This window comes from Homo sapiens, chromosome 7, assembly GCF_000001405.40.
Source record: "Homo sapiens chromosome 7, GRCh38.p14 Primary Assembly".
Lineage (NCBI taxonomy): Eukaryota > Metazoa > Chordata > Mammalia > Primates > Hominidae > Homo > Homo sapiens.
Window position 1 is genome coordinate 82008882 of NC_000007.14, and position 24898 is coordinate 82033779.

General features: G+C 32.8%; 1 protein-coding gene and 1 long non-coding RNA gene across 17 annotated transcripts in view; one reads left to right on the forward strand and one right to left on the reverse strand.

The window, feature by feature from the left end:
* The window catches only part of CACNA2D1 (calcium voltage-gated channel auxiliary subunit alpha2delta 1), a 497513-nt gene that overhangs the window by 62438 nt on the left and 410177 nt on the right, over positions 1-24898 (reverse strand). For all 15 annotated transcript variants that reach the window (XR_001744873.3, XM_005250574.4, XM_005250572.4 and 12 more), the window contains exons 12-15: positions 23916-24020; positions 5520-5598; positions 4580-4629; positions 3273-3362 (exon numbers count right to left, since the gene is read on the reverse strand). Coding sequence is in view for 14 of the 15 variants with exons in the window: in XM_005250574.4 (XP_005250631.1) it covers positions 3273-3362; positions 4580-4629; positions 5520-5598; positions 23916-24020 (324 nt within the window). In the remaining variant the exon portion in view is untranslated. The remainder of the gene's footprint in view (positions 1-3272; positions 3363-4579; positions 4630-5519; positions 5599-23915; positions 24021-24898) is intronic.
* CACNA2D1-AS1 (CACNA2D1 antisense RNA 1) lies at positions 296-21074 on the forward strand. Of its 2 annotated transcripts, NR_110076.1 has the most exons (5): positions 296-381; positions 11929-12053; positions 12241-12324; positions 14962-15016; positions 18774-21074. It is a non-coding gene; the product is annotated as a CACNA2D1 antisense RNA 1 (long non-coding RNA). The 2 variants fall into 2 exon arrangements; NR_110077.1 differs by lacking the exon at positions 12241-12324.

A 24898-nucleotide genomic window follows, 5' to 3' on the forward strand; every position in this document is an offset into this window, starting at 1 on the left:
AGGGAGGAGAGACAATAATAGAGAAGCTTCCAGAAGACCAAAATACCAAATTATTTGCAGCAAATAAAACTAAGGAAACAACCATACATATTTGGGTGCATGATGATTGATATGGTTTGGCTGTGTTCCCACACAAATCTCATCTTCAGTTGTAGTTCCCATAATCCCCACGTGTTGTGGGAGAGATCCAGAGGTAATTGAACCATGGTACGGTTTCCCCCATGTTATTCTCGTGATAGTGAGTAATTTCTCACGAGGTCTGATGGTTTTTAAGTGGCTTTCCCCTTCGCTCAACACTTATTCTCTCTCCTGCTGCCTGGCGAAGAGATGCTTTCCGCCATGATTTTAAGTTTCCTGAGGCCTCCCCAGCCACATGGAACTGTGAGTCAATTAAACCTTTTTTCTTTATAAAGTACTCAGTCTTGGGGATTTCTTCACAGCAGTGTGAGAACAGACTCATACAGTGATAGACACATGTTGGCGCTTATAAAGTCCTAACCAAGAACATTAGACAATGAAACATCCTTAATTATATAAATTAATGCTTCCAATGAAAACCTCCCACCTCAATAAAGTCAGGCTATAGATTAATTCGTAAAACTGGTATCCAAAAGATAATTTAGTAAGGATTTGGTGAAGTGTCTGTTAGAGCTATAATCTATATGCATGGTTTTAAAAATGCTACCATGGTTTAAGACAAGGTAGATATGGATGTAATCATTTCCTTTGCATTACTTTTGCATTTATACTGCATACCATAATTTGCTTCTAAAAATGGTAAAATGTAGCCTAAAGTGAGTTACTAGATTACTAACATATTAAAGATAATTATGAATGAACTCATTTGGGCCCAACTTGAATTTTTTTCTCATTTACTAAGCAGACCAAAAACTTGTACTCTACTCCTGAGTACTGCACATGTCTCTAGAAAATAAGAGAGAAATAAAACAAGATTTCTCTACCCTGGAATTTTAAAAATATTTTCTAGAGCCCAACTCTTGTCATATCTCTTTTTATAAAGAGCTTCACTTTGTCTCCTAATTAAAATGAACTCTCCACAATATTGTCCTAATCTCCCCTTATTACCAAAAATGACCAAGGTATCATTTTTTTGATATACTCAGTGCTTCCCCAACTTTTATGCTATACCCCATTTTTATGGTTTCACTTTTCACCACCAATTGCAAAAATCTTACACTAATATCAGCTAAAATGTCTCCATTTTCTTAACCACAACCCACTTTGCCCCCAATATTGGCTTCATTTTGAAGTCAGAATTCTTTTTCTCATTATATCCATTATATTTCGTTTTGAAATATATTTACCTTTTCCTTTTTAATATAACTGTTTATTTTTGACCAACATATATTTTTAATCTGCTGTGTGGAGAGATTATAAACAAATAACTAGGAATATATGAGGATCACTTTATCATCTTCAAAACAGTAAAAATAACGCTATATGTGTCCAATGAATAGCAAATTCACGTGTTCCTTTTTTTTTTTTTTTTACATTCAGTTTCAGCTTATAGCACAGCACATTTAGAACCAACATTTCCTCCTAATGTCATTTGTGCTATCAGTAAGAACCTTACCAGCAATGCAGACATGCTGGCTAATGAACTTCCAGTCAAAGGAAACACAACAGGGCATAATTATTGACTCCTCCTATCATACACTGTCCTGTGATGGATTTGAAAAGTGCAACATTTTGACCACAGCTTTGGATCACTATGTGACCTTAAGTAAATATGTGATGTCTAAAAGGAACACTGGACAGTAATTTTAAGCTAGGGCTTGAGGTAAGCAAGCTTCATTTTATCTTCCTTAGCGTGCAAGGCTGCTGTTAATAGTGCCTATTTTTCTTCTAACTTCCTGTATATGTTTATTTTCTAAAAACCAAATGATAAGTAATTCTAAATGGACTGCATTTTGCCCTATGGGTTCATCATTACATTTGGAAAAGTAGTAAGAACATATCACTGAACTCCAAGTAGGGAAAAGGGTTACTGAATCAGCATTTATTTTCAGGTCTTATTATTTTGATTCTCTCCAAATATATTATTTTAGTAAATTATTCATAAGTTCTTCTCATTAAGACTAAACATAAGAATAAAGCTTAAGTGCGATGATTATTATTTATAACTTTCATGTCAGGAAAGTAAAAATTACATTTAAAAGATTTTCAACTTTGGCCCTATTGACATTTTTGGAGGGAAAATACTTTGTTGTGTGTGGTAGGCATTTTCCTCTGCATTACAGGATTGTTTAACAGCGTGCCTGGCCTCTGTCCACTCAGGGGTGTCCAATCTTTTGGCTTCTCTGGGCCACACTGAGAGAAGATGAATTGTCTTGGGCCACACCTAAAATACACTAATACTAACAATAGTTGAGATTTTTAAAAAAGCAAAAAATAACATAATGTTTTAAGAAAGTGTACAAGTTTATGTTGGGCTGCATTCAAAGCCATCCTGGACCACAGGTTGGACAAGCTTGCTCTAGATGCCAGTAGCAACCCCTCCCCTCAAGCCATGACAATCAAAAATGCAGATTTTTTCCAAATGAACTGTGAGGGGCAAAAAGACCCCCTTGTTGAGAACCACTGCTTTTAAATATAATGACATATCTTTACTAAAATGTCAATTGTGCGATGGACAATTTAACATGTGTTTGTTATTTCACACCAGATTTGATCGCCTCAATGACGTATTTCCATAAAAAGTATGAGGTTGAATCTAGCACAAAAGATTATATTAATACATGAAGAAGTTTGTGATGATTTCAGTATAAGGTAAAGTTTTTGCCTATCTAATCGCATGTACTCCTGAGTTTTAGCAGATCCAGCTATAGCTGTGGAGGCTAGACATGCTTCTACTAGCTCCTCTACTTTAAAAATACTTTCTTCAAAATTATTGTTCTAACTCTGCAAAAATAGATTCTAATTCACAAAGACTTTCATCTTTTTTTTTACATTAACAATTAAAAAACTTATTGAAATGCCCATGTATTCAACATTCCAGGTTGGAAATTCTACATTCCCAATGAAGGGATCAAGTAGACAATAAGCTAACACTTTGCATTTGTAGTTTTCTACTACATACGAGTCTATGTTTTTATGTAAATTATATAAATTCTAGGAAAGAAGTCTGTGATAGAAGAAATTTTGGGGAGGGTTTAATGAAAAGGAAAACAGAGACATCATCTAGAAAGAAGTAGAAATCATCTGTGTGCTTTTGTTATGACAGTCTTTGACTGAATAGCTCAACCTCTTACCAATGCATCCAGGTACACATTTGTCCATTGGACTTGCTTAGCTTTGTCTCCTGCTAAAACCATTGGTCTTCCCAAAACATCCAAATATTCCTGTTTATGGGAAAAAAAAAAAAAGTCGTGGTTAAAACTAGGAATGCTGTGTTGAAATAAAAATTACAGAGAAAAAATATTCTAGAGTTAAAAATGAATATAGAATCAAAATTATTGACACTGAATATATAATCAGTTAATTTCTATTTTGGGTACTCCATAGGTGGTATGGCTACGTTATTTTGAATGAACAATATTTGACTTACATTATTTATACAATATATCTACCCCAGTTTTTTTCTAGTAACAATCAGAGCATTGTTTTTCTGTGTTACAGCCAGTAAGTGAAATACGTTCCCTGTGAATTGTTTCATGTTAATCTAAACTATTTAAGGCTCTGTGATTTACTGCGTGGAATTGCACAAATTTAAAATCATACAGCAGCCACATACTTTCTTTCATATCACAGATTGTTTGGCTGAAATTCAAAACTACATTTAAACACATCAAAAAATAAAGGAAATACTGTGCCAAATCTAGACATCAGACTCAAATGCAGCTGCTGTTTCATTTCAACATTCAGTGTATTCAGTATTCACGTCCACAAATGCCATGTTATTTATGCTAAATTTTGACTTCGTTTATTTTGTAGATCTTCAGCTATGTTTAAAAAGGAGTAGCAATTTTCATAGTAATTTATGATTATTTAAAAAGAATAAATATTTAAATTAACTTAATTACTACATTCTACAAAAAGTTATTTAACAGGCATGTTTTCAAGTGAATGATGTTAGAAAAATCATCTCCTTGTTGTAACTTTATTTTAGATTGATAAATAGATCCACAGGGGTTATTTGGGAGGTATTTAAGTTCCAACTAGGTCCCTGTAAAATTTGTCCAGCATAATTAGTGTTTAATTTTATACACAGTACCTACAATTTGAAGAAACTTTTAAAAATTATTTGTAGTAGACTCAAGTTCAAATTACATGAAATGTATTTTTAGAAAATTTGATTTTATTTATTTTCTATGATGTTTGTAACATCTGAAAATAACAATATACTCATTTTATTAACCTGAGTTTTGGTTATTTGAAAACACTTGCAATGTTAATGAAATAAAACCAATGTATCAACAAGATACTCAGTATTTTAATATAGGTGTAATATTATAGATCTTTTCATTCTTGCTAATTTTCTCCATATTGAGCATATTTAAACCAGAAAAATATCTTTTACTTGAAAAAAATAATTTAAACAAGTTTTAAATAATCATACCTGAGTATTGATTCTTATTGCACCAATGGAAGGAATTTCATAATAATAACCTGAAATATACATATATGTTTTTATACATAAATGTTACTTTATAATAAAGGGCCACAAAATTATTTTATTTTATAAATATTTTATAAAGAGTATTTTGAAAACAATATATTTCACTTCAAAACTGAGCTAATACTGAAATATCAAAATTAAGGATGGTTAATGAATCTTCACAACAAACACACAGGCTTTGTGAAAAATTTCATTACATTTCTTAGTTACTATAAAATAGGTATTCTTCTATGAAGGAATAGGAAACATGGTATCATTAAAAATATTTTTTCATTGGATAAATTATTAAAGATGCATGATGGATAATTATTATATTTATATAAAATCTTTGCCTAAATATAACTTTCAGAAAAAATTTAAGTTCTTTTTGTTGCCATGGTATCACAGTTCATTTCTCAAATTAACATATGTTTTTCTCAGTAACATCATTCTTTCTGAGTGAAAATATGAGCTCACTGCAAATATTTGAATTATCCTGGAATGTATAAGGTAATATTTTTCAAAAACAGTAATTAAACCACTCAGAGAAAAAAATATGTATGTCATACTCTCATATTTAAGCTTTATGAAATTCAGATATTGTTTCATTCCTAATTTTTCATTTAAGATTATATCTGATATATATCATTCAGTATAATTCAGTGTAATACATTATTTTATGAATGTGGAAATATAATCAGATATCAGAATTTTCATATAATGTAATGCCAGTGTCAAAATTGGTATGTGTTTTCTCTATAAAAACATGTTCAGAATCTTACTCTTGTCTGATTCCTATAAAAGTTAGCTACAATTTTAGCTTATTTTAAATAAGTACACCTAATAACAACTACCAAAATAGTTTTTCTTCTAATTTATTAGAAGAAAACAGATTTGTTACCTTTGTTTTCACAGGCCATCCACTGAATAGGTCCTCTGTCATAATTGTGTTGACCAACTGAAAACGTGAATACACGTACCTGGATGAATTGAAAAATAGGTATTCATTAGGCTGAATAAAATTTAATTCAATGGCAAAATAAAACAGCTAAAATTTCTATTGAAAAGAGTGCTTTCCAGTTGAATGATATGACAAGAAAAACTGAGGCCAGTAAAGCCTTCAGAAAGAGACCAGAGGAAAATCACATAACCTACTGTAAACACAGACTCCAGTTGCTACATTTAAATTTGTACCTGAGTGTCATGTTGCATATTCCAATCCTCAGGCAGGAGTATGACTAATGTTTCATTCATAGAAAGTACATCTTTCATGGCCAGACGCAGTGGCTCACGCTCGTAATCCCAGCACTTCGGGAGGCCCAGGCGGGCAGATCACCTGAGGTCAGGAGTTCGAGACCATCCTGGCTAACATGGTGAAACCCCGTTTGTACTAAAAATACAAAAAATTAGCCGGGCCTTATGGTGGGTGCCTGTAATCCCAGCTACTCGGGAAGCTGAGGCAGAATTGCTTGAACCAGGGAGGCGGAGGTTACAGTGAGCTGAAATTGTGCCATTGCACTCCAGCTTGGGCAACAAGAGCGAAACTCCATTTCAAAAAAAGAAAAAAGAAAGAAAGAAAGAAAAAAGAAAATACATCTTTGAGGTCCAACCTCACTTCACCTGTCTCACCTGGTTATATATGTTATCTACATAGCTAGTCACTGCAAAAAAAGCTTATTTCCCTATTTCATAGGTATGTAGTAATGAAAAAGTATTCAGAAAGGTCATTGTACTTCAAAGTTGCTTAACACAATTAAACTTTGTGATGGTTTTCACCATGGAAATATTTGGGATGCACACATATAATTATGTTGTTAGTATATTACTTATTTTCTATAAAAGTTGGCTGACACATATAAATAGATATTCTAAGCTCCTAGGATTTTTAAATATAATCAAAATATTGACTGTTCCTAACATGCTATAAAGTATGCAAATATTTTAAAATCAATAGAGAGTTTTTATAATTTATTTATTGAAAGACATTGAATTTAAATAATAGTGTGAAAGTATAAAAGGTAAATTCCATGAGGTCAACCTATACTTAATAAAATTATTTTTACATATATATTGATTTTTACTAATTTAGTAATCTAAGTAAACCCATACTCTCAGCTCAACATTTTAGCTATTTCTAAAAATAGACATGCAGAAAATCACTTTTCCATGAGTTCAAATTCCAGTTTGAACTATGTTAAGAGCTTTTCCCTAATTCATGTTGACTGACTATTTGAATGGACATTTTCTAATTGTTTTGTATCTTTTAACTGTTGCACATGATTTCAGAGTACAAATCTCAAAAGAGATTTCACATCTGTTCTCTGTTCTTTCACTGGTCTTGGCCACACAGATCACATTATAACAATCCCTGCCCCCAAAACGTACATCAGGGATGTTGCTATTTCATTTGTAAGGTTTTAGGTGAGCCACTCTTACATCATCCAGGTTTGCCTTAGCTGGTTACGTAAGAGGCCACATGGTGAACATAATCCAAGCTTTAAATACTTCAAACTGTAAGAATAAATAATTGTTTCTAAGTGAATGACAGAAGTTGGTTTTTTTCTCTCTCTCAATCTATCTTTCTCTCCAGGAATTCCCAATCAAAATGCAATGGTTTCATTTTCTTTAATTCATCAGTTAGGTCATTTTTGGGTCTGTCTATAAATTTCAATGTAGGGTTACTGCTTACAGAGTTGAGCTTCTAAATGGAAATATTTTTATAAGCAGGTTGACCACCCTAACTGATAATTCAATTTAAATGCCATACCCTAAACAATCATCAAATGAATTCAAGTCAGGGAAAAAGTCCAGATGCTCCAGGAAGCACTGGGGGATCTCTCTCATAACTAACATTTGAACCCATACCTCAAATTTTCAACGGAAGCATGGCTTTGCCTAGAAGTTCCTGTTACCACAACAATCATCTAGTAAAACATTTTTCATAAAATACTTTTCAGTAAAAAAATAAACAAGTAAGACTATATGAATCTTATATCTATGTCTCAGAAAGGCAAGCACTTCTAATAACATCGAGGCTACACTCAGATCCACACATATGATTATTTGACTGATGTTATCATTCAAATAGTCCAAATAAACACTAGCCGCCCGCCCCCCCCCCCCAAAAAAAAAGCTTGTTGCTTTATTTATTTTGCTATAAAAGTTTCACTTAACTTCTACGTGTTTGCTTACATGGACCCCTCAGAGGTTGTCAAAATTAAGGTATTTGGGATCAGGGCTGGGGTAGTGCACATTCTGTCAGCTTTAATTATAATTTTTGAAACACGCCAAACTCTTTTGTAAACCTCTTTGTTCTTTTTCTTGCATAGGTTCTTGGCTACTTAAATGTAAGCTGCATTAACTAACTGAATCATTCCCATGTCATCAATGTATAATTTGTACCCCTTTTCTCAATTTTCATTTGCCTTGTTGTAGAGATTTTTAAAGACATTATTTTCCTGAAATTTTATTCCAAGTGTTTACTAAAATCCTAATTGCAAATGCAACCTTCTTTATAATTTATACAACTGCTTTACCATTACAATATTTACGCAATCTAATATACCCAAGATTATTTTATCTTGGTTTTACGTATATGTATGTATATATACACACACATACAAACACATATGCACATAGGTATTTAATGATTTTATGGATTATATAGATTATCTTAGAGCTTTCTATAATGATCTTATAAATATATATTCAGTTGAGAAGAAGTTTAATATAAGTCATTCAAAACTTAGGATCTATTGTAGTGCCTTACACACATTCTTTGACAGTAAAAAATCAATATAAAAAAATTTCATTCCCTAGCGCCATACCATTGTTGAACTTGTTTTTTCTTTGTACATTTTAGCTAATTACATAAGAATTTTAACTTCACTGATTTCATAAACTTTCACATTACATATTGTATAGTGCATATAAATAATGTATTGGTTAAATTTAAAAGAACTTTTGTGTACACAACTTTCCACTTGGAATTGTAAATGGTTTCATTCCTCCTATTCCATACTATGCTACTGCCACCATGTGGAATAGTCAATGAACTAAATTCCAGATGCTAAAGTCCACAGAGATGATTGATACCCTGCTTCTTCAGATGTTTTTTTTTTACTTCTTTAAACTTACAGTTCTTGTTTAACCTTAATTTTGGAGTTATAGAAAAATAAAGTGATTCCTTGAAATATGTACAATTTAAAACTTAAGGTAAATTACCTTCTCAAAGATGTGTATTTGTACAGTTCTTTTAAGCACATTTGCATGATCTTACATAAAAACAAAATGACATACAAAAATAACTCAAAATGCTTAACTAGTAGTCACACAAGCTAAATATTTCATCTTAACTCTCACTCAAGCAAATCACTTACATTAGAGGAGGTCTACATCCAGGCTAAGGCGACTTTTGTGGAGAAAAAATTCCTTTACTCATGCCTAGTAGTATATTTATAATCACAACACTAGGTTCATATAACAAATGCACATGAAAACTTTTCTGTTGTGAGTAAAATGTTCCTAGAAAAGTAGCTAATTGTTTCTCAACATATATGATTTTATGTAGGCTCATCTTTCAAAATGTTTGCTTCTATGAAATTTTCATCATAGAGTCACACAAGACATATACAGTAACAGATGGCTTTGACAAATATTTTTCATAATGCTGGAGTACAGGTCTTCAACAGAAATACTGTGGGAAGCTAGTATTGAATAAACGTTGGATTGGGCTTTAAAAGTTCCAAGATTATACAATTTAGCTTCTATTGTAGTGTCTTACTCATAAATGAAAACAAATGTTTGTTAAAAACAAGTGAATAGATGCTTGAGTGGTTTCTACTTCTTACCAGAGGGTAAGAAGACTTTGGTGTTATCCAACATATCAGTAAGTTCATTACAGTATGTGGTAAGAGCAGGACCAAAACTGGGCTATTAGTGTCTTGCATTTTGCAATTTGGGCTGTTTCACTATACTTACATCATCATACATTCTTAATCTTTTTATTTAATATTAAATAAGCAGACATCCTTACTGGAGGTAAACAACTTTTTAGGCAAAATATACTTAGTACACTTATTTATGTACTATATTATTCCTTGAAAATAAAAAAAATTCTTATAATTCTGGATTCACACATAGTTATATAATTGTAAAAGCAATAGTAATTTGGGGAGCAGACTTAATAAAATTGAACTTAAATCCAGGTGTGGTGGCTCATGCTTATAATCCCAGCACTTTGAGAGGCTGAGGTGGGTGGATCACTTGAGCTCAGGAGTTCAAGACCAGCCTGGGCAACATAGTGAGACCCCCATCTCTACTAAAAATACAAAAATTAGCTGAGCATGGTGGCTCACGCCTGTAATCCCAGCTACCCTAGGGTGCTGAGGCAGGAGAATCGCTTGAACCCAGGAGGTGGAGGTTGCAGTGAGCCTAGATCACACCACTGCACTCTGTCTGGGCAACACAGTGAGTGAGATTCTGTCTTGGTGGGGTGGGGGTGGGGTGGATGGGGTAATTAACTTAAAAATTAAATTCGTGGACAGGTGCAGTGGCTCATGTCTGTAATTCCAGCACTTTGGGAGGCTGAGGCAGGTGGATCATGAGGTCAGGAGATCAAGACCATCCTGGCCAACATGGTGAAACCCCGTCTGTACTAAAAATACAAAAATTAGCTGGGCATGGTGGCACACACCTGTAATCCCAGGTACTTGGGAAGCTGAGGCAGGAGAATTACTTGAACCCGGGAGGTGGAGATTGCAGTGAACTGAGATCACACCACTGCACTTCAGCCTGGTGATGGAGTGAGACTCCGTCTCAAAACAAAAAACAAAAAACAAAAAAAATTAAATTCCTATGGCTTTTTCATAGTTATAAACTTACATAATTTTACTTTTAGTTGTTTCAAAACTATTTTTCTTCTGAAAGGAACATTATAATTCCAATAATTAAATTTGGTATTACAGCTCTGGCCTACTTGATTTGAGAAGACTTTTAAGTAAGAGCAGTTTTGGCTATTTACAATGTATTACTGATTTGTTCCTTATATCCCACTGATTTGTAACTTTATCCTACAGTTCTGACTTCTGCTAATCTGTTTTTGTTTTGTTTTGTTTGAAAACTAAAATACTTGTCTTCAATTAAGAGTTTTCCAAAGCCACAGGGTCAACCTATTTTAAAAAGCCATAGGAATTTGTTTCCCAGCAGAACCCAGTTACTGGAAACTGTCACCTCAACAATTATCAGTTACCCAGAGTTCAACTTTAATTTACAATAGGCAAATCTCCAAAGAATAATGGAAATTAGTCTATGAAGAAAGCCAATAAAAATAAAATAAAAACTTCAGCCTTCGAATCATGTTAGAAAAATGAAGTCAGAAATAGGTTATATTAATCTACTCTGTGTACTAAAATTTTTGGCATTAAGCCTATGAAAATACTAGATTGGATGGAATATTTTAGGGTAAAATTCTAATGTGGTTTCCATAATTCACAAATACATCAGAATCCAGAGCATTTGACTAGCCTATATCTCCAGTTTTATAGCATTATGTAATAAATAAAAGTGTCCAAATTCACCTTTCACACTTTATTTTATAAAGCCCAAGGATCTGAAAGTTACTTGCAGCCTGCAAAGTTTTGGTGATCCACCTTAGCCTATGAAAGCTGTAAGGAGCAGATCCCTGTGGGGAAGTCTTGCTGTCTGACTTGAAGGCAGGCTCCTGGGTGGGCAAATTATGATTAGCATAGCCACAGAGCTGCTCAGAGAAAGACACAGACAAATGGCCAGTCAGGCGCATTCTGCATGAGGTTACGGAATTCAGACTGTAGATTACCATCTTGACTCTGCCACTTAGTAGCCACATGACTTTCAGCAAGTTACTTTACTTTTCTGATTTTGCTTTTCTTATTTCCAAAATGGGGGTGATGGTGATGATGATATTATTATTATATAATATGATTATTCCAGTTGTAAGTGAAAAGTAAATATAAGGCATTAATATATGGAAATTGTAAGCTCTGTAAGTATTAGCTATGGTAATGAAGATGATGATGAAGACAACAATGTCTTTTATAGTCAAACTATTAGTATTAAATGATGTAATATTTTCCATTAGTGGGTCTTTAGCCTTTTATGCCTCAAGAGGAACCTAAAATAACTCAAAATAACACCTTCCTAGATGAGCAAATTTGGTGAGCTTTATCATACTTAGCAACAAACTCTAATGAAAAAGGGTATTTTCTAAATGCCATTATGTCCACATAAGATATATCTATACGAAATTTCCTGTATTTATTGCAAATTTACAGATATGACCAACATATGTGCTAGAGTGTCTGACGGAGAGAAGAATTTAATCGATGTCTGTTGAATTCGCTCAAGTAAATAAAACAGAAAAACTGTTTTATAAACGGCAACAAAGTGCAGTAGTCATGTAAGTTTTGCACACACATTCACAAAGAACCAAGCTAGTGTTTCTCTTGTGTGTCTTACCTGTGGGTGTATGACATATTTTCATACTATGATATTTTTAATTCACTAGCAACTATAATGAATCATCCTAATAACATCAGATTATAAGGAAGTAATCTGAAGTTTCCTTTTTCTCTATATGCATTTAGTACTAGATAAAGGAAGAATAAGCTACGGGCCCACTGAATTTCCAAGCAACTTGCAGTTCTGCAAAGAGTATTATCAGCTGAGAGGTCAGAATATAAGCTGTATGGTGATTTATTTCAGATGTTTCTCTTGGGAAATGTCAAATACTTCACTGACACTGATAATGAGAATGCTCATGAAAAACTATGTGTTAGACTGATTAGAGTGAAGGGAAAGGTGCCATCACTACATTTTTTATATAAACGGAAGTGTTCCCTACTTATAAGATGACATATATAAGAACATCTATAACAGTTTTATTCCACATTCCAAATTTAGGAAAATAATGTTGTTTTTAATGATTTCCTTCTAAAAGAACAAAGCTATTTAATTTTTCTAACATTTATGAATTTTGTATAGATTAGGAGCATATTTATTGCCTATGTACTGATATGACCAACATATCTGCTAGTAATGAGCACCTACCATGCATCAAGTACTGTGCCATCCTTTAAGAATTAATTCATTGGTATGTTTACAAATGTATACAACTACTTCGTGGAGTTTATATTAGAGAGGAAGGCTCCAGATAAAAAGCAAAGAAAGCATTAAAATAATTAAAAAATGGTAATCTGAGGGAAAGAAGACCAGGAAGAAAGAGGGTGCTGAAATAGAGAATGATAAAGGGGATGTCTGGGGAAAGAGACAACTGTAGAAAGGTTGACTGGGGGAAAATCCCTCTGATAAGATATACTGTGAGCAGAGTTCTTAATCAGAGAAGAGAGCAGCAGAAAAACCAGCAAAAAGTGCCTTTCTGGCATAACATTTTAACACAAACAATGGGCAATCTCAATTCTAGGTAGTAAATTTTACTTGGAATTTCAAGTGCCATTTCTGTGCTATAAAGTTTACATCATATCATATACTCTGTGCATAAAGTAATACTTAACCTCATTTTTCATTCAGTTTGTTTTAGATATTAAAAGGACTTTGTAAAATGCATTAAAGTCATATTATTCAAAGCTGAAGATGTGCCTGGTAAAATATTCCTTAGTTTGAGGGACTGACAACACTAATTTTACTCTATGAGAAACAAGTGTAAATAAATGTTATCAGAGACAAGAACACACACACACACACACACACACACACACGTGCATAAAACTTATCTTTTAAATTGATGATCGCTCTACTAGCTGGGCATATTACATTGTAGTTATTGTTTTCAGCTTCACAGTAACTCCAGAATAAATACTTGGTTTTTATGAACAAAGGTAGAGCCCTATTCTAAAGCTAAAAATTTAAGAAGCTGTTGAAAGCATCAAAATATCTGAAACAAAAGTTTTTAGAAGCAATCCATGTGTTAAATAGAATTAAATGCTACAAGTTAAATGTCTTTCATTATCATATATTTGAACATTTCCTCCAAAGGCTTTACTTTTGCATGAAGAAGCCAAGCAGAGACATTAGATATGCAATAAATTATTTTCCATGGATTATTTTCCTTACTATCTGTTGAAAAACTGACAATGTTCACTCTAACTACATAAAACACATCTGCATATTCAGATATTTGTAACTTGGTTTAGATTTTACAAACTATTGACCATTTCTAGTTTGGATCTGAGAGCAAAATAGAAAAGACTTTCTCAATCATTTTTTAAAGTGAATTCTTTAAAATAAGTACGTTAAGAATAATGCATTCTCAAAAATGGATTTATTGTCAAGTGATTATAACTTTAGATGTGCATTCTTTATTTTGAAAGTTATTTCATATCATATGCTTTTTTCTCATTTGTTCTCATTCAATTTACTAGTTATTTTGAAATTTTTATTAATTTGAATGTTTTTTCATTTTTTAAATTAATTCTGAGAATTAAAGAATCAGAGAACTATTTCCTTACTGGCTAGGCAATCTTAAGTATGTATTGCTAAGCAGTCCCTTGGCTATTCTATGGAAAATAAAATAATTTTGCTAGCCCTGGAAATTATCTTTCAACTCTGTGTCTGGTTTTACTTTCCTTTATTCATTTGTTTGGACTACGGGATAGAGTTCATTTTAGTTTTGGCACTATTTTTAAGGAGGTCTCATGTACATGGGTGAGCCCTAAGGAATGGCAATGCTGCAGGTAAAGATTATAAAGCAAATGTATTTTAATTTGGAACAGCTGTGTGAGGAGATTAACATGGATCCTGTTTTAAAGCTATACCTATCTATAATCAGGTAGATTAATTCCCAAGAGTAGCACATTTCACAAAAGAACTCAAACATTTTGTTCTAATTCTCAAACCTTTTGGCCTCATTAAATTGTGCTGTGTATCTCCTGCAGCCTCATTCATCAGCTCTCCAATTGTAACTCATCAGGCCTACCTGGATTGCTCTGAAAGATTTCTGATTCATCTAGATGAAATATGAATGTAAATGAAGCATTCTGCAGCCACATTAGTATTAAACAAGAGGCTTGGGGGAAAACAAAGAGTTAGGTTTTTTTTTTTAAGCTCACCAAACTTTCTTTCAAGATGTTGTAATTTTTCTGTATTTCTAAATTTTATTACATTATGGTAAGAACTACCATCCTATGGTGAGATCTACCATCCTAACACACATTTAAATGTACAATGTATTACGGCTGATTCTAAGTACAATGTTTACAGCAGATCTCTGGAGCTTATTCATCTTGCTTAACTGAAACTTTATGTCCACTGATTAGTAACTCCCCATTTCTCCCTTCTCCCCACTTCAGGCAACCACTATTTCACTCTTCGAATCTATGAAATTGACCATTTTTGATATCTCATGTAAGTGGAATCATGCAATATTTTTTGATTGGTTTATTTCACTTGGTACAATGTCTTCAAGGTTCATCCAGGTTTGCACATATTGAGAATTTCCTTTTATTTATGCTGAGTAGCATTGCATTGTATGTATATACCACATTTTCTTTATCTATTCATCTGTCAAGGAACATTAAGGTTGTTTCCACATCTAGGCTATTTTGAATAGTGCTGTAATGAATATAGAAGTACTCTTCAAGATCCTAACTTCAGTTTTTTTTTTGGATAAGTATCCAGAAGTAGGCTTTCTGGATGCTATGGTAGTTATATTTTTAATTCTTTGAGGGACCTCCATATTATTTTCCGTGGGTGCTGCACAATTTTGCCTTCTCATCAACATTGTGCAAGGATTCCACCTTCTCCACATCCTCCCCAACACTTGTCTTTTGTTTCTTTGATGACAGCAATCCTGACAGGTAAGAGATGATATCTCATTTTGGTTTTGATTTATATTTCCCTGATGACCAGTAATGTACATTTTTTCATGTAGCTATTGGCTACCTCTATGTCTTTTCTCCAAAAACATCAAGTACTTAGCTCATTTTTCAATTGGGTTATTAGAGATGTTTTGCTCTTGAGTTGTAGGAGTTATTTTCATATTTTGTATACTAACCCCTTATCAAATATATGGCTTGTAAATATTTTCCCAATTCCAAAAGTTGTCTTTATAGCTCTGTTGATTGTTTCCTTTTCTGTGGACAAGAGTTTTAGCTTGATGTAGTCTCACTTATTTTTGGATTTATTACCTATGTTTTTAGTGCTGTATCCATGAAATCATTACCAAAATAAATGAATGCCATGAAGCTTTCTCCCTGTTCTCTTTCAGGAGTTTTAACATTTTAGGTCTTAAATTTTAGATTTTAATCCATTTTGAGTTGTTCTTTGTGTATGGTGTCAGATAAGGATCCAATTTCATCTTTATTTGCATGTCAATATTCAGTTTTCCAACACCATTTGTTGCACAATGGGGAAACCATTATGTATTGTTTGCACCCTTATAGAGGATCAATTGGCCATATATCCATGGAGTTATTTCTGGGATCTCTATTCTGTTCCAAAGGTCTAAATGTCTGTCTTTATGCTAGTGCCCTACTGTTTTGATTACCAGAAGCTTTGTAATACATTTTGATATTAGGAGGTGTGATGCCTCCAGCTTTAGTCTTGTTTTGTTCAAGATTTCTTTGGCTATTTTGTGGTCTTTTGTAGTTTTATATGTATTTTAGAATTTTTTTCTATTTTTATTAAAAATGCCATTGGGATTTTGATGGAGGTTGCAGTGAAACTGTAGATCACTTTGGGTACTATGGAAATTTTAACAATATTAAGTCTTCCAATCCATTAACATGAGATGTCTTTCCATTGGTGTCTTCTTTAATTTCTTTCATCACAGTGTTACAGTTTTCAGTATATAAAACTCCTTTGTTAAGTTCGCCTCCTTTGTTAAGTTTATTCCTAACTGTAGTATTCTTTTTGGGTCTATTGTAAATGAGATTGTTTTCCTCATTTTCCTTTCAGGTAGTTAGTTGTTAGAGTATAGAAACACAACTGATTTTTCAAATGTTGATGTTGTCTCCTGCAATGTTACTGAATTTTGTTTATTTGTTCTAATGAGCTTTTTGAAGTCCTTTAGTGTCTTCTATATTTAGATCATGTCATCTGCAAAAGGAGACTATTTATTTCTGCTACTAATTTCTAGTTTCACTCCACTGTGGTCAGTAAGGAGACTGGGTATGATTTCAATCTGAATTTGTTAAGAATTTGTTGTGACCTAACGTATGATCTATCCTGAAGAATGTTCCATATGCACTTGAGAAAAATGTGTATTATTTCTATTGGGTCAAATGTTCTCTATCTGTTTAAGTCTATTTGGTTATAGTGTTGTTCAAGTCCTCTGTTTCCAGATTGATCATCTGTCTGGCTGTTCTATCCATCACTGAAAGTGAGGTATTCAAGCTTTCTAGTATTATTGTATTGCTGCCTATTTGCCCCTTCAGTGCTGTCCATGTTTGCTTTATATATTTAGATGTTCTGATGTTGGGTGCATACATCTTTGTTATATATTATTGCTGGATTGATGCTTTTATTATATAACATCCTTCTTTGTCTCGTGTCAGTTTTTTTTTTTTTTTTACTTAAAGCCTGTTTTGTCTGATATAAATGTAGCTATCCATACTTTCTTTTGGTTATCATTTGCATGGAATAACTTTTTTCATCCCTTCACTTTTAGCCTATGTGTGTCCTTAAATCTAAAGTGAACTTCTGATAGGCAGCATATAGTGTGGTTTTGTTTTTTATCCATTCAGCCACTCTGTGTCTTTTGACTGGGGAGTTTAATTCATTTACATTTAAAATTATTATTGATAAGACAAAATTTATTAATGTCATTTTGTTATTTTCTGTCTTATTTTTCTTTTGTATTTTCTTTCTTCCTTTATGTTTGTCATTTTGATATTTTAAAGTTACATGTGAACTTATTTAAAAAAAGTTTTTTTAAAAAGTTGCATTCAAACATAGAATTTTTAAGAGTACTGAGCATTTATATTTTACTAAATCTATCGAATTTCATTTTTACACATTGGCCATTTGAAAGATAGTATTTCTGTGGAAAGTGAAATGCTGAGTTGATAAACGTATTATGTAACATTAATTTTGTGGCTCTGGAATTAGTACTGCATGCACAACTTTAGATAACAATAAACAATTATCTTTGTTATTAATATCTGTGGGCTGCAGATCGCTCACACAGGGTGGGTGTGTGTACAGCAGGCAATAAAGTTAGAACATGTTCCTCAATTCATCCACACACATTTGAAGCCATATTTGAAGATGGTGAAAAATATATAATGTACATATGTACACTATTTTATGTATATAAGCACTCTACACATACACATATGTCCTGGGCATAAACAATTACTACACAAATGCTGTTGTTTTAATAAAATACAGGTATACTCAAAAGTATAACTGAATTAAAGGTGGTTGTCTGCTATCATTTATACTCATTATTAGTGGACACAGAACATGCAAATACTTGTTTTCATTTATTTGTGGGATCTAAAGATCAAAGTAATTGAACTTCAGGAGATAGAGAAGAGAATAGTGGTTATCAGAGGCTGAGAAGGGTATGCTGGGGGTTTGTAGGGAGGTGGAGATGATTAATGGGTACAAAAAAATAGAATGAAAAAGACCTAGTTCTTGACAGCACAAGAGGGATATAGTAAATAATAATGGTACATTTAAAAATAATGAAAATGTATAATTGGGTTCTTTGTAATGCAAAGGATAAATGCTTAAGGGGATGGGTACTCAATTTTCCATGATGTAATGTGATTGCATGCCTGTACCTAAATATCTCAAATTCCAAGATGAACGTTTTATTCATTTAACATGGCCTTCTCACATTAGAAAATGTGGGATGTCATTTAACTTCACAGTGCATATGAAATGTGGGACAGCAATGTTTCCAGAAATTAATACCTACTTGTCAAATTCAGAAACGTGTTCCATCTCTCTCTCAATCCCTCCTCTTTTCAAGATCTCTATCAATTAGCCTTTCTCAGTTTTGTATCTATAAGCTTTCCTTGTCTGAGTATCCTTTCATTCATCTTTAGCCTATAATAATGTATAAGGTCTTCTATTGTAAAATAATATGCATATAATCATATGTGTGTACAGGTATATCTCATTTTATCATGGTTCTTTGTTGCATTTTTTACAGATTGGAGGTTTGTGGCAACCCTGTATCAAGTAAGTCCACTGTTGCCATTTTTCCAACAGCACACGCTAACTTCATGTCTCTGTCACAGTTTAGTAATTCTTAGAATAGTTTAATCTTTTTCATTATTATTACATCTGTTATAGTGATCATTATATCTGATACAGTGAATATAGTGATATCATACTGTTATATTCAGTGGTCCCTGAAGCTGGCAGAGGTTGGCTCATGAGGTGTAAGGAAAAAAGGCATCTCTATAACATAAAAGTGCAAGGTGAAGCAGCAAGTGCTGATGTAGAAGCTGCAGCAAGTTATCCAGAAGATGTAGCTAAGATCACTGGTGAAGGCCACTATAATAAACAACAGATTTTCAATGTAGAGAAAACAGCCTTGTATTTGAAGACAATTTTATCTAGGACTTTCATAGCTAAAAAGGAGAAGTTATTGCCTGCTTCAAAGCTTCAAAGGACAGGCTGACTTTCTTCTTAGTAGCTAATGCACTTGGTGACTTTAAGTGGAAGCCAGTGCTCTTTTACCATTCCAAAAATCTCAGGGTCCTTAAGAATTATGCTAAATCTACTCTGCTTATGCTCTGCAAATGAACCAACAAAGCCTGGATGACAGCACATCTGTTTACAGCATGGTTTACTGAATATTTTGAGCCCACTATTGAAACATATGTTAAAAAAAAATTATTGCTCACTGACAATGTAGGTAGTCGCCCAAGAGCTCTGATGGAGATTTACAAGGAGATTAATGTGTTTTCATGCCTGCTAACACAACTTGCATTTTGTAGCACATGGATCAAGAACTAATTGTGACTTTCAAGTCTTATTAATTATTTAAGAAACACATTTGGTAAGACTATAGCTGCTATAAATTGTGATTCCTCTTACTGATCTGGGAAAACCCAACTGAAAACCTTCTAGAAAGATCCACAATTCTATATACCATTACAAACATTCGTGATTCATGGGAAAAGACAAAAATATCGACATTATCGGGAATTTGGAAGAAGTTGATTTCAACCCTTGTGGATGGCTTTGAGGGGTTCTAGCATTCAGTGGAGGATGTAACAGCAGATGTGGATGTGGTGGAAACAGCAAGAGAACTAGAAGTGGACACTGAAGATGGGCTGAATTGCTACAATCTCATGATAAAACTTGAACAAATGAGGAGTTGCTTCTTACGGATGAGCAAAGAAAGTGGTTTCTTGAGATGGAATCTACTCCTGGTAAAGATGTTGTGAACATTCTTCAAGTGACCCAAAGGATATAGAATATTAGATGAACTTATTTGATAAAGCAGTGCCAGGGTTTGAGAGAAATGACTCCAAGTTTTAAAAGTTCTGTGTGGGTAAAATGCTATCAAATAGCACTGCATACTACAGAGAAATCTTTTGTGAAAGGAAGAGTCAGTCAATGCAGCCAGCTTCATTGTTGTCCTATTTTAAGAAATTGCCATAGCCATCCAACCCTCAGCAACCACCACTTTAATCAGTCAGCAGCCATCAACATTAAGGCAAGACCCTCCACCAGCAAAAATACAAAGACTTGCTGAAGTCTTAGATGATCGTTAGTGTTTGTTATACATTTTGTGAATTAAAGAATAGAGTATTCTTTAATTAAGGTATGTACTTTTTTTAGACAAAGTGCTATCACACAATTAAGAGACTACAGTATATAGTAAACATAACTTTTATACACAATGGGAAAACAAAAAACTTGTGTGACTCACTTAATTGCAATTTTCACTCTATTGTGGTTGTGGTGATCTGGAACCAAACCCTCAGCATCTTTGAGGTATGCCTGTGTGTGTGCGCACAACTTGACCCTGAGTTAACTGTCTTATTCTTCTCTTTTATTTCTTAGCAAATTTGCCATGATTTAAAAAAGAAAAACAGCTTATATTTATATTCCTACTTCCTCATTCCTCATTTACTTCTCAACCATCTGTTGGCTTTTGCTCATATCACTTTATGTAAGAGAGGTCATGCCAAAGCTATATACATGGTTCCTTGTTCCTGGAGGGGATATCCATTTGAAACAGATATAAATATGTGTGGATATATATATATGTATGTATGTATGTATGTATGCAGGCTTTTATATATGTATTACTGTGTATCACAGAACTTTGTTATAGCCTCTGAAGTTAGAAAAACAAACAATATAATATGCAGTTCCAAGAATATTTTAATTTTTATGTTAGAGACAAAATTAAATGAAACATCACCACAACTGAATGTTAACTACTTAATTTTCACAATTGCCTTGGCATTAATAAAGGTTATATGTTTTCAGGAAAAATGTGTGTGTCCTTAAAACACAGCATCAGTATGTTAGCAGACAAAGAGCAGGACTGTTGAAGTTGAATATAACTTGATTTATTAGTTTTATAAAAGTACATGTGATATGAATCTTTTTATCATGTGGTTTATCTTGTCATGAAATGCAACCTTTGTTTAAAAAGTTGAGCTCCTGTAAAAGGTGACTGGAATGAGAAGCTGTATTTCAAGATAATGATATTTAGATTGGACATTTTTAGGATCCATACATAGAAAAGAAGCTTTAAACCCATAAATTCTTCACTAATTCAACCAACTGAACAATTTGTGAAAATAGTGGATGGAATACATTTACTTTCCTTATAACATAAAACTTTGTGTGTTTAAAAAAAAGAAAAAGATCAAATTAATGATATGCCTCCAAGACACTATGTGTTAATCCTGGATGTATAGAGAATTCCGAAACAGGAAAAAAAAAAACAAAAAACACCACATTTCTGAATTTACATGAAAGCAACTTGTTCTTATTTATATACTTTTAGTTAAATCCACCTGAAAAAACCTTTATACTCTTTTAAAATCGGATATATCTCATGCACAAATTTGAACACAGAATGTAAAATTCATTGCCATCTTTGAGTCAAAAACTTTTCATTTTTGAAATAAAGTATGTAGAGGTGAACAAGATTCCTAGTGGTTGCTTTGGATGATTACATAATGAAAGGAAAAAAATGATTTATTTACACTTAGTACCTATTAAAATGATATAAGTAGTGGCTTGCACTTATATACTTCTATCACAAAATAGTATACTTAAAATTATGACAAATATAAGATGCTAAAAAGTCCCTTCCAATTATCAGAGTAAGATTAATTTGTAAATTTTTGAGATAGTACATTTTATATTAATAGAATTGAATTTTGTGTTAAACTTTTGTTATATTTGAGTTCTTCAAAATAAGGAAATGCTAGATTATTTAAAATATGTGAAAGCAGCATATTCCTTGCCCCCAGTTATATTTTATAATTATAAATCTGTCCTGTAACAGCACTCATGCTTCCAACCTCTGTTACGTATTCTCAATTTATTTGTTGTGATGTATTAGGAACTATCACTGGATCTGTGCTCTGGGCTGCATGCCTAAAGTTCACAGTTAAACAGGACACTGTCCCAATACTGTAGATTTTTTTTTTTTAATCCAGAGAGGAACAGAGGAGAGATGCCATGGGTAGAGTACAGAGTGAAGGATATGTATATGGCTTTGCACAGTGTGCTATGGGATCAGAGGCCAAGCATCTAAAGGAGCCTACAGTGGCAAGGAGGTTCAGGGACATCTTCCAGGTGGTGAGGATTACCCTGAATTTTGATTAAGGAGTAAGAGTTATTAAATAAAGATATGCACATATTAGTTAATGCATCTGGATATTCCCATTCATTTCTGATGATTTCTTTGAAAGAAATATTCGTAGAATCTAGTTATCACTTGAAAATATTCACAATCTATTAACAGCTCAGTTCATTTATCAACTTTTCAAAAGTGGTTCCTCTATGCTATTAAAATCACCAGATGCTAAACAAAAACCAAAAGATGTACCCTTAAACCTTACATTAAACTGTATGACACTGTAGTACATGCAGTAAGCAGAGTTTAATTAATTTGAAATTATATGTGTATTATTTCAGTCTTTTGATCATTTTCAAATACTCATAGGCCGAAAATTTTAGCACCTAGAGTATCTTAAAGGGTTCCAAAAATTTTCATCAAACTGTTCGCCATTATTCACAATATTTTGTCACCAAACCATCTGAACATATTCATTTTTGTCTCGCTTTTCAACACCCAATCCATGTGTGTTCCTCAAGCACATATAAAACAATCCATTAGAGCTAGCAATAACCACACCTTTCAAAATGGTGAAAATTCCAATCAGAAGCAAAGTGAATGGGCATTTTACCCTGCAGAGTCTTCTTATATATAAATGTATGATTTTTGTAGAAATTTTTGAAACACCAGAAAGAGTTTATAATTTCTCATTACTTTTTAAATGAATCATTAGCATTTTAGGAAACCAGGTTGAGAATCACAGTATTCTTACAAAATGTGGAGTGTTGGTCAGAAAATTGAAATAAGCTGATAATAGGACGGCTAGAAAAAGTAGTTAGAGTTTTGATTGAAGCTGATATTCCTCCACAGTATCAGGTTCAATGAGGTCCCTCTCTGTAATACTCTTCCCTTATAGTAAAACATACATTCAAATATATTCCAACTACAAACACTAATCTTCACAGTCTTCATTTGCTTATGAAATGCTTTCTTTTAATACATTATACCTATAAAAGGATTTGTCTTCATCTTTTCTTGAAAGGAATCAGTTTTCAAATGAGGATGTAGTTTTTGCTGTTGTAAACTGCCTTTTTGTAAATTTACAAAACAATACTTAGACATTTTTTGAGTATTTAGGAAATTTGAGTATTACTGCAATCTTTAATAATTAAATAATATAATAAATTTTATCCAATAAACCTTAAAGTTTAAAATTTTTCCTATTTTACCATTCCTTTGATTTCTCTATTTTAATAACATTTTATTTACAATCTATGCATAAGAATAAAATAGGACCCATACATATACTTTATTAACATATTAGGCATGAGTTGCTTGTGAATATGATATAAATATTATACTTAACAGCTCTCTAATACACCTATTAGTTTATAATCTATGATTCATATGGCTTTATAATTGGCACAATCAGGTTTTAAATCAAAAATTCTCCCCTCACTACCACTACCCACTATCTCTTTAAAAACCACCTAGATCATTATTAAAATTTAAATATTATAAAATTACACTCACTTTTTTATCTTTATTGTATTTGTTAAATATCTCCTGGGCTCTCTCTTCTCCTCCATCCGTGAATAGCATAATAATCTTATTGCAGTTTGCTCTGGAAACATTATACTGTTAAAAACAAAACCAAACAAAACAATATGCGTATTATTCACAATAAAAGAGAAAATAAAGCTATATGGAACGAGCATGAGCAGGTTGCAAGTAATTAATGAAATATCTGCTCACAAAATATATTCTAAGAACTGGTTCCTGGATCAGTTCAGGCCCACCCCCTTCACCAGGCCTTCCCCTCACCACCCAGATAACCATAAGTCTATCTCACTTCCTTCAGTCTTTGATCATACGCCACTTTATCATGAGGTGATTACTCACAACTATGTTTTAAATTGCAGTCTCCCTCCAAGATAGTATGTTTCTTCATAGCATTTTACTTTCTTTTATATACATATTTTATTTTCTTGTTTGTTTATTGTTGGTATCCCCCAACAGAATGTAAGCTACATAAGGGAAGGAAGCTTTGTCTTTTTTGCTCAAAGACTTCTTTGTCCCTCCATAGAAGACTGCCTAGCACATAATAAAATCTCAGTAGTTTATTAAAAAAATGAGCTTTTAATAAATGTCAATTTTATGCACATATGATTTTATAGTATAAACAAAAAATAACATTAATTTAAAATGTGTATCTTCAATCCACTTTCAAATAAGTGTTTTCTTCCCTCTTTATTCATTCTACTTTATTCACTTCACATGTTTGAAATCACAAATCCTAACACTGGTCACCTAAAATGCAATGCTCTTTTGTTCCTTTGTAAATGCTGATACCTATTCCCAGGATGTCCTCTTATCCTCTCTCAACCAACCACACATATTCTAATCCTGAAAGACTCAAGTCCATGGTAAATCTTCTTACACTTTAAGGTCTCCAAAAGAGTTAGATATGGGAGAATGATGGATTAGCACCAAAGGGCCATTAAAATGAACAATTA